This window comes from Homo sapiens, chromosome 17, assembly GCF_000001405.40.
Source record: "Homo sapiens chromosome 17, GRCh38.p14 Primary Assembly".
Taxonomy (NCBI): Eukaryota; Metazoa; Chordata; class Mammalia; order Primates; family Hominidae; genus Homo; species Homo sapiens.
The window spans coordinates 67,213,873-67,227,470 of record NC_000017.11 but is presented as its reverse complement, the minus strand read 5'-3'; the positions used below and the strand labels follow the sequence as shown (position 1 = coordinate 67,227,470).

General features: G+C 42.0%; 1 protein-coding gene and 1 pseudogene across 8 annotated transcripts in view, besides 1 other annotated feature; one reads left to right on the top strand and one right to left on the bottom strand.

Annotated features, from left to right (window-relative positions):
• The window catches only part of HELZ (helicase with zinc finger), a 175,546-nt gene that overhangs the window by 18,519 nt on the left and 143,429 nt on the right, over positions 1-13,598 (top strand). For all 8 annotated transcript variants that reach the window (XR_001752712.3, XM_047437225.1, XM_047437224.1 and 5 more), the window contains exons 4-5: positions 8,649-8,876; positions 11,536-11,572. Coding sequence is in view for 7 of the 8 variants with exons in the window: in XM_047437225.1 (XP_047293181.1) it covers positions 8,667-8,876; positions 11,536-11,572 (247 nt within the window). In the remaining variant the exon portion in view is untranslated. The remainder of the gene's footprint in view (positions 1-8,648; positions 8,877-11,535; positions 11,573-13,598) is intronic.
• On the bottom strand, positions 2,385-2,771 carry RPL36AP48 (ribosomal protein L36a pseudogene 48; annotated as a pseudogene).
• Positions 3,164-3,458: an enhancer, noted in NCBI's record as "tiled region #4721; HepG2 Activating DNase unmatched - State 17:Gen3', and K562 Activating DNase matched - State 5:Enh". NCBI's record gives its function as "activates a minimal TATA promoter and a strong SV40 promoter by Sharpr-MPRA in HepG2 and K562 cells {active_cell/tissue: HepG2 | K562}" and the evidence as "EXISTENCE:reporter gene assay evidence [ECO:0000049][PMID:27701403]".

Sequence of the window (13,598 nt, the reverse complement as noted above, 5' to 3'; positions counted from 1 at the left end):
TCACACCTGTAATCCCAGCACTTTGGGAGGCCGAGGTGGGCAGATCATGAGGTCAAGAGATCAAGATCATCCTGGCCAACATGGCGAAACCGTCTACTGAAAATACAAAAATTAGCTGGGTGTGGTGGTGTGTGCCTGTAGTCCCAGCTACTGGGGAGGCTGAGGCAGGAAAATTGCTTGAACCTGGGAGGTGGAGGTTGCAGTGAGCTGAGGTCACGCCACTGCACTCCAACCTGGGCGACAGAGTGAGACTCCATCTTAAAAAAAAAAAAAAAGTCAAATGTGACATTTAGGTCATATTTTAAAAATAATTCTTACAATTTTATAAAAATTAGCATATAGTAAAATTGATGTTTTTTGCTATACAGTTTTACTAATTTAACACATGTCTAGTTTGTGCAGCCATCACCACAATCAGGATACAGGGCAGTGTCATCACCCTAAAAACTCCCTCATGCTATTCTTTTATAGTTACCCCTACCCACCCCATACCTGCTCACAACCACTGATCTTGTTCTTCATTTTTATAGTTTTATATTTTTGAGAATAAGATTGTATAAATGGAATCATACAGTATGTCAGCTTTTGAGACTGGGGTCTTTTATGTGGCATAATGTTTTTGAGATTAATTCAAGTTATTGCATATATTGAATACTTGTTCCTTTTTGTTGCTGAGTAGTTTTATATCACAAAGAGGTCTGTTTATTCACTCATTAAAGGACGTTTGAGTTGTTTCCACTTTTAGCAATTATGAATAGAACTGTTATGAACATTTGTGTTCAGATCTTTGTGTGAACATAGTTTTCATTTCTCTGTGGTATCTGAGGGGCGAAGGGGATTGCTGGGTCATATAGTGTAGTGTGTGTATTTGATTTTATAAGAAGCTGCAAACCCTTTTTCCAGAGTGGCTAAATCATTTTATATTCCTACTAGCCATGTATGAGGGTTCCAGTTACTGTACATCCCTTGGTGTTATCAATATTTTTAATTTAGCCATTCTAATAGGTATGTAGTGGAATCTAATCATGGCTTTAGTTTGCATTTCCCTAATGGCTAATAACACTGAACATCTTTTATGTGCTTATTTGTTATCATTATATCCTGTTTGGGAGTATCTGTTGAAATCTGTTGCTCAGTTTTTATTTGGTTAGTTTTCTTATTGTTGACTGTTGGGAGTTCTTTTTTTTTTTCCTTTTTTCTTTTTTTTTTTTTTGAGATGGAGTCTCACCCTGTTGCTAGGCTGGAGTGCAGTGGTGCGATCTCGGCTCACTGCAACCTCCGCCTCCTGTGTTCAAGCGATCTCCTGCCTCAGCCTCCCGAGTAGCTGGGACTACAGGTGCACGCCACCACACCCAGATAATTTTTGTATTTTTAGGAAAGATGGGGTTTCACCATGTTGGCCAGGATGGTCTTGATCGCTTGACCTTGTGATTCACTCGCCTCAGCCTCCCAAAGTGCTGGGATTACAGGTGTGAGCCACCACGCCCGTCAGGGAGTTCTTTATATTTCAGATCTGAATCCTTTTTCAAATAAGTGATTTGCACAAAATTTCTCCCAGTCTCTAACTTGTCTTTTATTCTTTTAACAGTGTCTTTTTCATGGTACAAAAATGTTTAATTTTGATAAAATTTATCGATTTTGCTCTTTTGTCAGATTGTGCTAAGATGAATCAATTTTAGAACAAGTTTCTGTTTTATAAAAGTGGCAAAAAGTAAGTTAGGGATGGGATACTGTCTGAAAGTTGACTTTTGTGGAAGGATGCAAATGTTACCATTTTATGGAAAGATGGTGCTAATTAATACACTCCTTTGTCTTGGGACACTTAGGATTTTTGCTTAACCAAGGAGATAATTGGCTTAGGGGTGTGTGTGTGTTTTACATTTTTTAAAATGGTAATCACTAACATTGCGGTTACTAACACAGACATACTTTTTATAATGCAGAACTATGTTAACCCTGTTTCAGAATTAAAAGGTGATATTTCACTGTCACATTTGGTGCTTTTGGGAGTGCTGGACTTTGAGTTTTTACTCTGTTGGAATAGCATTAGAACCTTAGTTGCTTGTGGGCTCAGAATCAGTGTCGTGGTAAAAGTAGGAGTTGTCGGGCTGCCTGGATTTGAATCCTGCCTCTGTCGTTTACAGTGTAACTGGATAAGTTAACTCTGTGCTTCAGTTTCCTCATCTGTGAATGGGAATGATAATAACAATTCTAATATCTACTTTATAGGGTCATTGTGAGGATTAAATTAGATTACGTACATATAATCTTTTAAACATCTGGCACACGATGAACCTTCAGTAAAAGCTTCTTGTTATTACTGAAGTAACTTTATAAGTTGTTAAAACAAATGCTTTGGGCTTATATATATATGTAATTTTTTAAACATAAACTCAAGATTTTATTGTCTTCATAATAAAAGATGACACATAGAACTGGATCACTTGACCCTTTCTCTTATCTCCTTCCAGTTCAAAATGCTTGCATCTTTTTAATAGCCAGCATTCTCTTAGATCTGTTTGGGCTCAACGCACTCAAGTCTTAGCACAGTCGTCTTTGTAGTTTTAGCCTTCTTCCGGAAGATCGGCTTAGTTTGCCCACCATAGCCACTCTGTTTCATGTCATAACGCTGCTTTCCCTGGGCATACAGAGAATCCTTGCCCTTGTACTGTGTCGTTTTGTGGGGTTGGTGCTTGCCACACTTCTTACAGAAAGTCCGGCGGGTTTTAGCAACGTTCACCATGTTTGCATGAGCACTATGGGCATGGAAACCTAGGCTTATATTTTTAAGACACAGAAGAATCATATATCACACTAAGCCATTTGTCTCCCATGCTCACTTATTTTTTCTCTTTACACTTACTGTTATTAGTAATAAATAACATGATCATTGTTATTAATAATCGTGTATACACTATTTTACAAGACAATTATCAGCTCATTTGGTACTGATCAGATTATCTAAATTAAGACTGTCTTGGTTCCAACTGCCTGAAATATCAACCTAAACTGACTTAAGCTGGAAAAAAGTTTCTTGGCTTACCTAACTTCGAAGTCCAGGCACAGCTAGCCAGAGCTGGATTCAGGGGTCAGGTGATGTCATCAGGACTTAGTTTCTCCCTGTGAATCAGCTCTGCCTTTTCCTGTATAGACTTCAGTTGCTGACACTGTAAGAAAAATGGCTGCGGTATATTCAACCCCCTGTAGTTTCTCAGAATTTAGATTCAGCTGCAAGGAGCTTCAGTTTCTTTCCCAGAAGCCTCAGCGAGTCTCATGGTGTCTCATTGGCTCTTACAGGGTCATATGGCCTACCCTGAGCCAATCCCTGTGTTCAGGGCTGTGAGGCTCGGATTGGCCAGTTAGTGTCACATGCCACCCCACATCCCTGGTGGAGTTAGCTCTTCAGGAACCACATGGTCTGAGAGATGGGGAGAGGTGAATTCTCGAAGGGAAATCGTGGGCTTTTATTACCAGGGAAGGGAATGGGTATTTGGTGGCAGAACAACTAACGTTCATTGCATGGTATTAGTCTCTTTTTATAGGTCAGCAACAGATCAGAGGAGTTAGTGGATTTGGATTAGAGTCCTGGTTTCTGATTTCAGCTTTCTTGCTTGTGAAGTCACATCCTCCAAGTCAGTGTTTCTCACAGGGATAGGAGTTTAAAGGAAATTAGTGTTTTATGTTCCTTTGATAAAAGTTTGGATATTTTTTTTTTCTTTGAGAGGGAGTCTTGCTCTGTCGCCCAGGCTGGAGTGCAATGGCGCAATCTCAGCTCACTGCAACCTTCGCCTCCTGGGTTCAAGTGATTCTCCTGCCTCAGCCTCCCGAGTAGCTGGGACTACAGGCATGTGCTACCACATCCGGCTAATTTTTTGTATTTTTAATAGAGACGGGGTTTCACTTTGTTAGCCAGGATGGTCTCAAACTCCTGAGCTCAGGTGATCTGTCCGCCTCAGCCTCCCAAAGTGCTGGGATTACAGGCGTGAGCCACCACGCCCGGCCAAGTTTGGATAATTTTTAACAGGAAGAGAAAGAGTCAAGACAGATGGGGCGGACCTCAGCAATGGGCGAATGTGATGCTTCTTCCTACATTGGTGTGCTTAATGTGCTTAATGTGACTCAGCTCCAGCGACTTCCATTCCCTGGGCCACTCTGTCCCTGTGGGAAAAATCCTTAGAGACCCAACTTAGTATCTTCTTTTTTTCTTTTTTGAGACGGAATCTCGCTCTGTTGCCCAGGCTGGAGTGCAGTGGCGCGATCTCGGCTCACTGCAAGCTCTGCCTCCCGGGTTCATGCCATTCTCCTTCCTCAGCCTCCCGAGTAGCTGGGACTACAGGCGCCCGCAACCATGCCAGGCTAATTTTTTTTTTTTTTTTTTTGTATTTTTAGTAGAGATGGGGTTTCACCGTGTTAGCCAGGATGGGCTCGATCTCCTGACCTCATGATCCACTCGCCTCGGCCTCCCAAAGTGCTGGGATTACAGGCGTGAGCCACCGTGCCCGGCCTCACTTAGTCAGTATCTGCCCTTGGATCTGGCTGTTACGTTCAGGTAGCAGGATCACATACAATAGATACAGATGTATCGATGTGTCCTAGGCAGGGGTGTCAGCTACACTCTTGAAGTGTATCTGGGAGCTGGCCTCATTTAGAAGTACTTCTAGATCTCTCACTGCGTATTATCCATAGTCCATTTTAGCATGGCCTGAGATGTTTTCTCATTTTGACTTTGACAGACAGTTTTGCTTTTATGCTTGATAAACCACTTTAGCTTCTTCAGAAGGAGTGGGTGCAGTAAGGTCATGCTGTTTTCTGAAAAGCTCGACAAAACAGCTGAACGGAGCATGCGTTGTATTGAGTTCCACACTACAGCTAAGTGACCCTACTGTGATTCAGGTAGATCTTGGAAACTAGTCATCAGGCCCTGATTAACAAAGGTAATTGGGGTAGATATCCACTTCTGAGGAAGGGTCGTAAATTGAGTCATTTCCTCTCAAAGCTCCTGAAATTCATAGTTCTGCGCTTAATCTCTACTTACATATTAATGTTACCGAGCTCTCCCTGGCTAATATGTTTGGGAATCATTGTTGATATTAATCTTTGTGATCATCCCTCATAGCCAGATTTACGGTTTAGCTAGTCCTTGTCAGTGACTTGCAGATATACTTTTTTCTCCAATGGCTATTCTTTGGATAATCATTACCAGTGTATTGAGATGGAGAAAATAGGTGAAAATCCTCTGTCAAGTAGGTAAAGTAATTACATAGAATAATACTTCATTGTCTATACCGTATTGTATGTTGAGATCAGTAAAGTGATTTCAGCTTTATGTAGGCTGGGTACAGTGGCTCACGCCTGTAATCCCAGCATTTGGGAGGCCAAGTTGGGATGATCTTTTGAGGCCAAGAGTTTAAGACTAGGCTAGGCCACACATTGAAACCCTGTCTCTACAAAAAAATAAAAAAAAAATTAGCCGGTTGTGGTGGCATGCACTTGTAGTCCCAGCTTTTTGGGAGGCCAAGGAAGGAGGATGATTCCCAAGTGTGTGGCAGCAGGAGCTATGATTGCACGACTACACTCCCAGCATGGGCTGCGCAGCGAGACTCTGTCTCTTAAAAAAAAAAAAAAAAACACAAAAAACAGCAACAACAACAACAAAAAACTTTATATAAAGTGAAAATAAGGAATTTTAGAGACATTATAATAGCTAACACTTATTGAGCACTTATGTCCCAGGCATTCTTTTAAGTACTTTATAGGTATTATTTCACTTAATCCTTGCAGTAACCCTAGGAGGTAGGTATTAGTTGTCTTCCCAGTTTAGAGGTGAGCAAGTTGAAATAATCCATGTAAAGCCACTTGCCCCAGGCTATGCAGCTGGAGAGTGGTGCAGCTGGTGAATTCTGGTTCCCAGTCTGTGCTCTGGATCACTGTGCTATACTCATTCCTAAGAAAGATTTTAGCTGGTGCATTATTAGCTTTGTTTTCTTACGACTTCTTTTTGTATTATTGGTCTGGATGTGGGCTGGGAGTTCTGTAGGGAAGATTTGCTAATTCTAGGGCCTCTGGTATCCATGGACTTTATGAATCTTGTGTTGCTGTTATCTGGCAAGCAGTGTATGCTTGTCTATATTAGTAGTTCTCAACTAGAGCTGATTTTGCCTTCTCCAGACATTTACTGGAGACATATTTGGTTGTCACAAGTCAGGGGACGTGCTACTGACATCTGCTGGTGAGGACTAGGGATAATGACTGCTCAATAACCTACAATGCACAGAATGGCCCACAGCAAAAAATTATTGAGCCCAAAATGTTAATAGTGTTGATATTTTATATCTGGACTATATCATGAGTTAGTAATTTTGTAATGCCACTCTTTGTCTAATGGGCAACATTGCTGTAGTGATACAGAAATTATTTTTGACTTTTATTGAACAATTGATTTCACCCACATCAATGTATGTTTGTGTAACAGGCATGCATACCAACTGTGTCTTATTTAAATCCCCTTACCCTTAAACTAAACTGGGAATTACAGCCTCCCTGAAGGAAAGCTGAGGAAGTTTAAAGGGAAACCATGTAAAAGACCAAGAATACAGTACTCTTTTTTTTTGGGGGGGGGGGAGTTATCTTAATAACACAATTAAATTTCTTCTTTTTTTATATTAAAAGTGTTAGTTTAGGCTTGGTGCAGTGGCTCACACCTGTAATCCTAGCACTTTGGTTGGCTGAAGCGGGAGGACAGCTTGAGCCCAGGAGTTTTGATACCAGGCTGGGCAACATAGGGAGACCCTGTCAATACAAAAATAAAATAAAATAACGATTTAGCGGGACATGGTGGTGCATGCCTGTAGTCCCAGCTACTCAAGATGCTGAGTTAGAAGGATTGCTTGAGCCTGGCAAGTCGAGGCTGCAGTGAGCAGTGATTGTGCCACTCTACTCGAGCCTAGGTAACAGAGTGAGACCCTGTCTCAAAAAAAAGTGTTAAAATTAAAAATTCCAAACTGAGAAAAGTAGGGAATGTTATATTGTACCACATGTGTAAATCCCCAATATTGAACAAATGCTGACAAATACTGTTGAAGTCCTTTTTGAACTCTCCCTTATCTCATTCCCTAGCTATTTCTACTGTTTTGGTAGACCAAGAATCTCAAAAGCTGAAGGGGCTTAGACCTCTTCAGATGTCTGTCATCTTGCCTCCTGCTGCTCTCTATGAGCTGCCCATCAATGACTTTTCTCCCCTCATCTTGCACTGCAGTTTATTGGCAGCAGATGGTTACAGCACAGCGAGGAGAGGGCAGGGCCCATGTGTCATTATAAAAGCCGAGAAGGCTGGCAGAGAACATATATGTAGGCTGGAGGCAGGCGGAAGGGACAAAGAAGTACCGTAAGGCCAGCGGTTAAGGTGGAAGGTAGGGAGGAGCAGGAGAGAGAGAAGGTGGATGCAGGCACGGAAAGCAATCTGTAAGTTTGACAGAGATGGTCAGCAAGAGTGACTCTTTGGAGCAGTATTGTGAATGTCAGGTCAAAGGATGTCGGTCTTCTGTGTCCAAGTTTTCCACCCCTGCCATGAGTGTTATAGCTAGGGAGAAACAACGTGTAAACTCCTGCTATTTCTTACTTGGACTATTTTAGTGATCTCTTACTAATGGCAATGTTTGCCATTTCTTCCCCTGTGGCAAGCTGTGATTTCTTCTATTTCTAACCAGTTCTTTATAGAACTGGTAGGACTTATGTTTGATAGATTCCTTCCGTATTTAAAAAATTTCATCGTGTTCCATTGCCTGTGGAATAAAACCCTTGCTTCTTGTTGTGGCATTTGAGGTCATTCATAGCTTCTCTTACTCCTCTGATGTACCTTGAGTTTAGGCTGTGTATTTTCTCCCCTTGGTGATTTCACTTGAACTCGTCTCTCTGAAAAGCTCACATTTGCTCTCCCTGTCATCTGTATGGTGAACTCCTGTTCACCTTTTGCAATCAGCTCATGCCTTTAGGCAGATGGAATAAGTCTTTTTTGTAATTGTTCATTTGTGCTTTGCCTGTCTTGCTAGAATCTGAGTTTCTTGAAAGCAGAGATGACATGCCCTGTCTTTGCATTCATTGCTGCTAGCACAGGGCCTGGCCCTCGAGAAATGTTTGTTGAATTGAATTAATGGACAGTTCATACAGTTCCAACCAGTTTTTTAATTGGTGGGAAATAATCCTGCATGGTATAGATTTTGGTTTTTTGCAATCATGGTCACAGAACTGTGAGACTGAAATTAGGAAACTGAAATTTGGAGATTTGGATATGAAACGTTTCTGTCCCTTTGGTTAAGAAAGGGGATCCTTTATGGTTTGTTGTATACTTTGCGGTATTCACAGTCATGTTTCATTTCTAAATTTGCCTCATTTATAAATTTGTTATATTGTTGGTATGATCCTGGCTTATGATTGACATTTTGCTTGAATCTTAGTAAAGACTTCATAAAATATCAAAGAGAAGTATAGATTTTGTAGCATCAATAGCTGCTGCTTAGCTGTGACCTTGATCAAAAGGCTAGCTGAGAGTATTCAGATAGATAATTAAGCCAGCTGAGATAGGAATGGGGCTAGAATTTATAATTAATAAGTTTAAAAAACCTTCTCTTGTTCTTTCTCCCTGTCTGTAGGATTTTTGTCCCTGAGTCATGGAAGACAGAAGAGCTGAAAAGTCATGTGAACAAGCATGTGAATCACTTAAGAGGCAGGACTATGAAATGGCCCTCAAGCACTGCACAGAGGCCCTTCTTTCTCTTGGCCAGTACTCCATGGCAGACTTCACAGGGCCTTGTCCATTGGAAATAGAACGCATCAAAATCGAGAGTCTTCTCTACAGAATTGCCTCATTTTTGCAACTGGTGAGTAAACACTGTCAATAAGCCAATGCTGAACTATGTAAAATGGCCTTTTTCATTGAGGGGTGACGATACAAATAGCTAATTCTGGGCCAAAGAGATGTGAGTGAAGTGGCTGGTGATTGCTGAATATATTTGATGGCAAGGTAACTACGTTTTTGAACCTTGAAAACTGTTCTACTTTAGGGCATTTTGGATTATGCACTCACTCAACAAGTATTTATTGAGTATGTACTGTGTACTAGACACTGTTCTAGGTTCTTGTTATATATATTGATGAAAGAGAAAGAAAAGTCTCTTCTTTATGATACTTTTTCTAGTAGGGGAACAGAAAATAAACAATAAGCATTATAAAAAATAAACACCGGCTGGGCGTGGTGGCTCATACCTGTAATCCCAGCACTTTGGGAGGCCAAGCCAGGTGGATCATGAGGTCAGGAGTTTGAGTTGGCCTAACCAACATGGTGAAACCCTGTCTCTACTAAAAATACAAAAATTAGCCAGGCGTGGTAGCGCGTGCCTATAATCCCAGCTACTCAGGAGGCTGAGCCAGGAGGATCGCTTGAACCCAGGAGGCAGAGGTTGCAGGGAGCCGAGGTTGCACCACTGCCCTCCAGCCTGGGCAACAGGGCGAGACTCCGAGACTCCGTCTTAAAAAAAAAAAAAACAACAAAAAACAAAAACCAAAAAAAAAACCCCACCATAGATTGTTAAAAGGTAGTAACCGCATGAAAAAAGGAGAACAGGGCAGGGGAGATTGGGAATATTGGGGTTAGAGATGTGGTTACAATTTTAAATAGAGTGGTCAAGGCAGGCCTCATTGAGAAGGTGATAACCAGAGGCAAGGGGGTGAGCCATGTGTAAAACTGGAGGAAGAGCATTGCAGGCAATGGAAACAGACCCAGCAGCAGAAGCATGCCTGCTGTGCTTGAGTAGCAGCTAGGAGTTAGTGTGGCCAGAGTAGAGTGCACGCGGTGGAGAGGTGGGAGGACCAAAGCCTGTGGGGCCTGCTGGCTCGTGATAAAGACTTTGGTTTTTATTCTCTGTGAGTTGGGGAGCTATTGCAGGGCTTTGGGCAGAGGAGTGGTGTGATCTAATTTAACAGAAATTGTTTGACTTTTGTGCTGAGAATAAACTGTAAAGGGATAAGCGTTGATGCAAGGAGACTAGATTGGAGACTATTAGAATAATCCAGGCCAGAGTGGCTCAGATCAAAATGGTAGCAGTGGAGATAGTGAGAAGTAACTAGGTTTTGGTTTATACATTGAAAATAGAAGCAATCAGGTTTCCTAATGTATTGAATGCAGGGAATGAGGGGGAGCAGTCGCAGTTACTTACCTCGATACTTTTTGTCTGAGCAATTGGAAGAATGATGTTTCCTTCAACTGAGGTTAGAAGGCTACAGCTGGGGAGGAGGTTTTGTGGGGGAAGGTGGGAGTTCAGTTTTGGACGTACTGAGTTTGAGATGTCATTCAGATACCCAGCTGAAGATGCTGAGTAAGCAGTCAGATATGCACGTATGGAATTTGGGAGAGAGATTCATTGAAGACTGTGGGATAGAAGTGCTATATGATGTCTTGAGCCAGCGTAGAATCACCAAGGGAAAATGAGCATCATAGAGAAGAGGCGAGGACTGAGGGCCGAGTCTTGGGCTGCTGCAGTGTCAAGAGGTTGGGGAGCAGAGCAACAACCAGCAAAGCAACCTAAAGAGCAACCCTGAGGAAAGGGGAAAGTGTGAGAGGAAGGAGTCCTGGTAGCCGCGTGAAGGAAGGAAGTGTGTCCAAGTGAGGAAATGAGGAGTAGTGTCAGCAGCTGCCAAGAAAGCCATGAGAATGTGTCTGAGTGGGCACATGTGAATCGTGTGGGTCCACATGGATGCAGTGGAGGTCACTGGTGATCTCTTGAGAGTGGCTTCCTTGGAGTAGTGGGTGAAAGTCTGCTTAAAAAGAGGGCTTAGGAGAGAATTGGGGGAAGGAATTGAAATACATCAACATAGACAACTCTTGAGGAGTTTTGCCATGAAGAGACACTAAAGAAAAAAAAGAGAAAGGAAAAGGAAAAAGAAAAAGGAATGGTAGCTAGTGGGAGAGATAAAGTCAAGGGAAATATTTTTTTAGATGGGAGAAATAACTGTATTTCTGTATAGAAATGAACCAATCAAAAGCAAAAAATTAATGATGTAGGACAAGTCGAGGAGGCTTGCTGGAGTGCCATACCTGCGTAGGCGGCTGAGTTGATCTGCACAGGCGTAGGTTGACTTTAGAAAGGAGCATGGTAGTATGTCTGTTAACAGGTAGAAGGAAGACAGAGTGTATGCTGGGAAGTGGGGAGACGTGGTGGTGACAGTCTATGAAAATTCTCTTCTTGTGGCTTCAGTTTTCTCAGTAAAGCTTTTGGCGGGGAGGGAGGTGCTGATGAGTTAGGGTTAGAGAAGGTGAGAAGTAGGAGTGGGGGTCCATGGACTAGGAAGTATACTGTGACGTTTATTTGTAGAGTGCCCTGTAATCCTCAGAGGGCACATGTGTTAGCTTTGCTCTGTGAATAGTAAGTTTACAACATTAATGATTAAACTTTGAAACAAAGCCAAGTTTCCCTTTGACAACATCTCTGTTAAAAGCAGCTCTTGAAATACTTAATTTTATCTTGTATTTTTGTTTTGCAGAAAAATTATGTGCAAGCTGATGAAGATTGTAGACATGGTATGTTTAAAAATGAGACTCGAATTATTGAATTGAACAATGTTTAAGGTTTGATTTTTTTTTTTGGCTAATTTCAAAAATGATGATAATGTTTGAAAAGCCCACCTTACTGTGGTGGCTAGTGACTGATTTGGATGATGACATTCCCACTGAGCTGGGCATACCTGTGAACATTGCTCTTACTCATGAATGTTTAAGTTCTTGTCACTCCCCTGGGAACATTGATGATGTGTCCTTTTGAAGTTTGTGTGAGGCCGGGTGTGGTGGCTCACACCTGTAATCCCAGCACTTTGGGAGGCTGAGGCGGGCAGATCACAAGATCTGGAGTTTGAGACCAGCCTGGCCAATATGGTGAAACCCCATCTCTACTAAAACTACAAAAATTAGCTGGGCGTGGCGGCGCATGCCTGTAGTCCCAGCTACCTGGGAGGCTGGGGCAGGAGAATTGCTTGAACCCGGGAGGCGGAGGTTGCAGTGAGCCGATATCACAGCACTGCACTCCAGCTTGGGCGACAGAGTGAGACTACGTCTCAAAAAAAAAAAAAAAAAGTTTGAATAGCTCCAGTCACAAGGGCCAAAGTTTAAGAAACATAACTCACATTGAATAAAATGTTAAGCTTAGCTAGATAAATTGAAAGGATGGGCCTGTCCCTCCTAAAATGTCTTTCCTTCTTGATCAGAAGATCTTTCTTAGAGAGGAGACTAGCTAGAATGCTCTTTAGTAATTTTTCCTGTGTTTTTTTTTTCCCCTCTCTGAGACAGAGTCTTGCTCTGTCTCCTGGGCTGGAGTGGGGTGGGGTGATCACAGCTCACTGCAGCCTCTACCTTCCAGGCTCAAGCAGTCCTCCTGCCTCAGCCTTGCAAGTAGCTGGGATTACAGATGTGTGCCACCACACCCAGCTGATGTTTTTATTTTTTGTAGAGATGGTTTTACCATGTTGCTCAGACTGGTCTCTTACTCCTGGGCTCAAGGGATCCACCTGCCTTGGCCTCCCAAAGTGCTGGGATTACAGGCATGAGCCACCGCACCTGGTCTCCTGTTTCAGGCTGGAAATTGAGATTAATAAGATTCTTGCTCTTCGAGTACTGATAGGAATCCTTTTCTTTGTGGTTGTTGCTGTTTACTAGAATGAATCTAGGAGTGAGTGGGAGAAGAGTTCACTGTACATTCTCACACACGTTTGGTGGAATTGTTTGCAGAGCTCAGTGGTTTGAATAATACAGTGTTTTGTTCATCCAGAATTTGGGGGTAGTGGTGCTGAGGTATTTAACATGAGTTAATTTTTTTTTTTTCCCTGCTTACTCCTTTGTGTTAACATTTTAAAAAGTATTAGGCCGGGCGTGGTGGCTCACGCCTGTAATCCCAGCACTTGGGGAGGCCGAGGTGGGTGGATCACTTGAGGTCAGGAGTTCGAAACCAGCCTGGCCAATATGGTGAAACCCCATCTCTACTAAAAATACAGAAATTAGCCAGGCATGGTGGTGCACGCCTGTAATCCCAGCTACTCGGGAGGCTGAGGCAGGCAAATCATTTGAACCTGAGAGGCAGAGGCTGCAGTGAGCCAAGAATGTGCTACTGCACTCCAGCCTGGGTGACAGAGTGAGACTCTGTCTCAAAAAAAAAAAAAAAAAAAAAAAAGAAATATTAATTTAACCATTCATTAAAGATTCTGTGACCTTTGTTCACCTCACTTCATAGAATTGTGTGCTTTGAGAGTTAACTAGAAATTAAGAGATATCTAGTAGAATTTTCTTTTAAAAAAATCCCTGCTATCTATGGGAATTTTAAAATTACAATGAGCAAACAGTAATAAGTCAAATAATATAGAGGAAAAATTTATCCTTCCCCCATCTGAAGAAGTTATTGTTATTAGTTTGCTGTATGAGAAAGGTCTTCTGTGCCTTTACAGTGACAAACATAAGTGCTTATAATACGTAGAGTTTTTCCTTTAAAAATTAAAAAGTCATAATGTGATCATCACCTAGCACCTTGCTTTCTTACATATCAGTATACCATGAATATTGT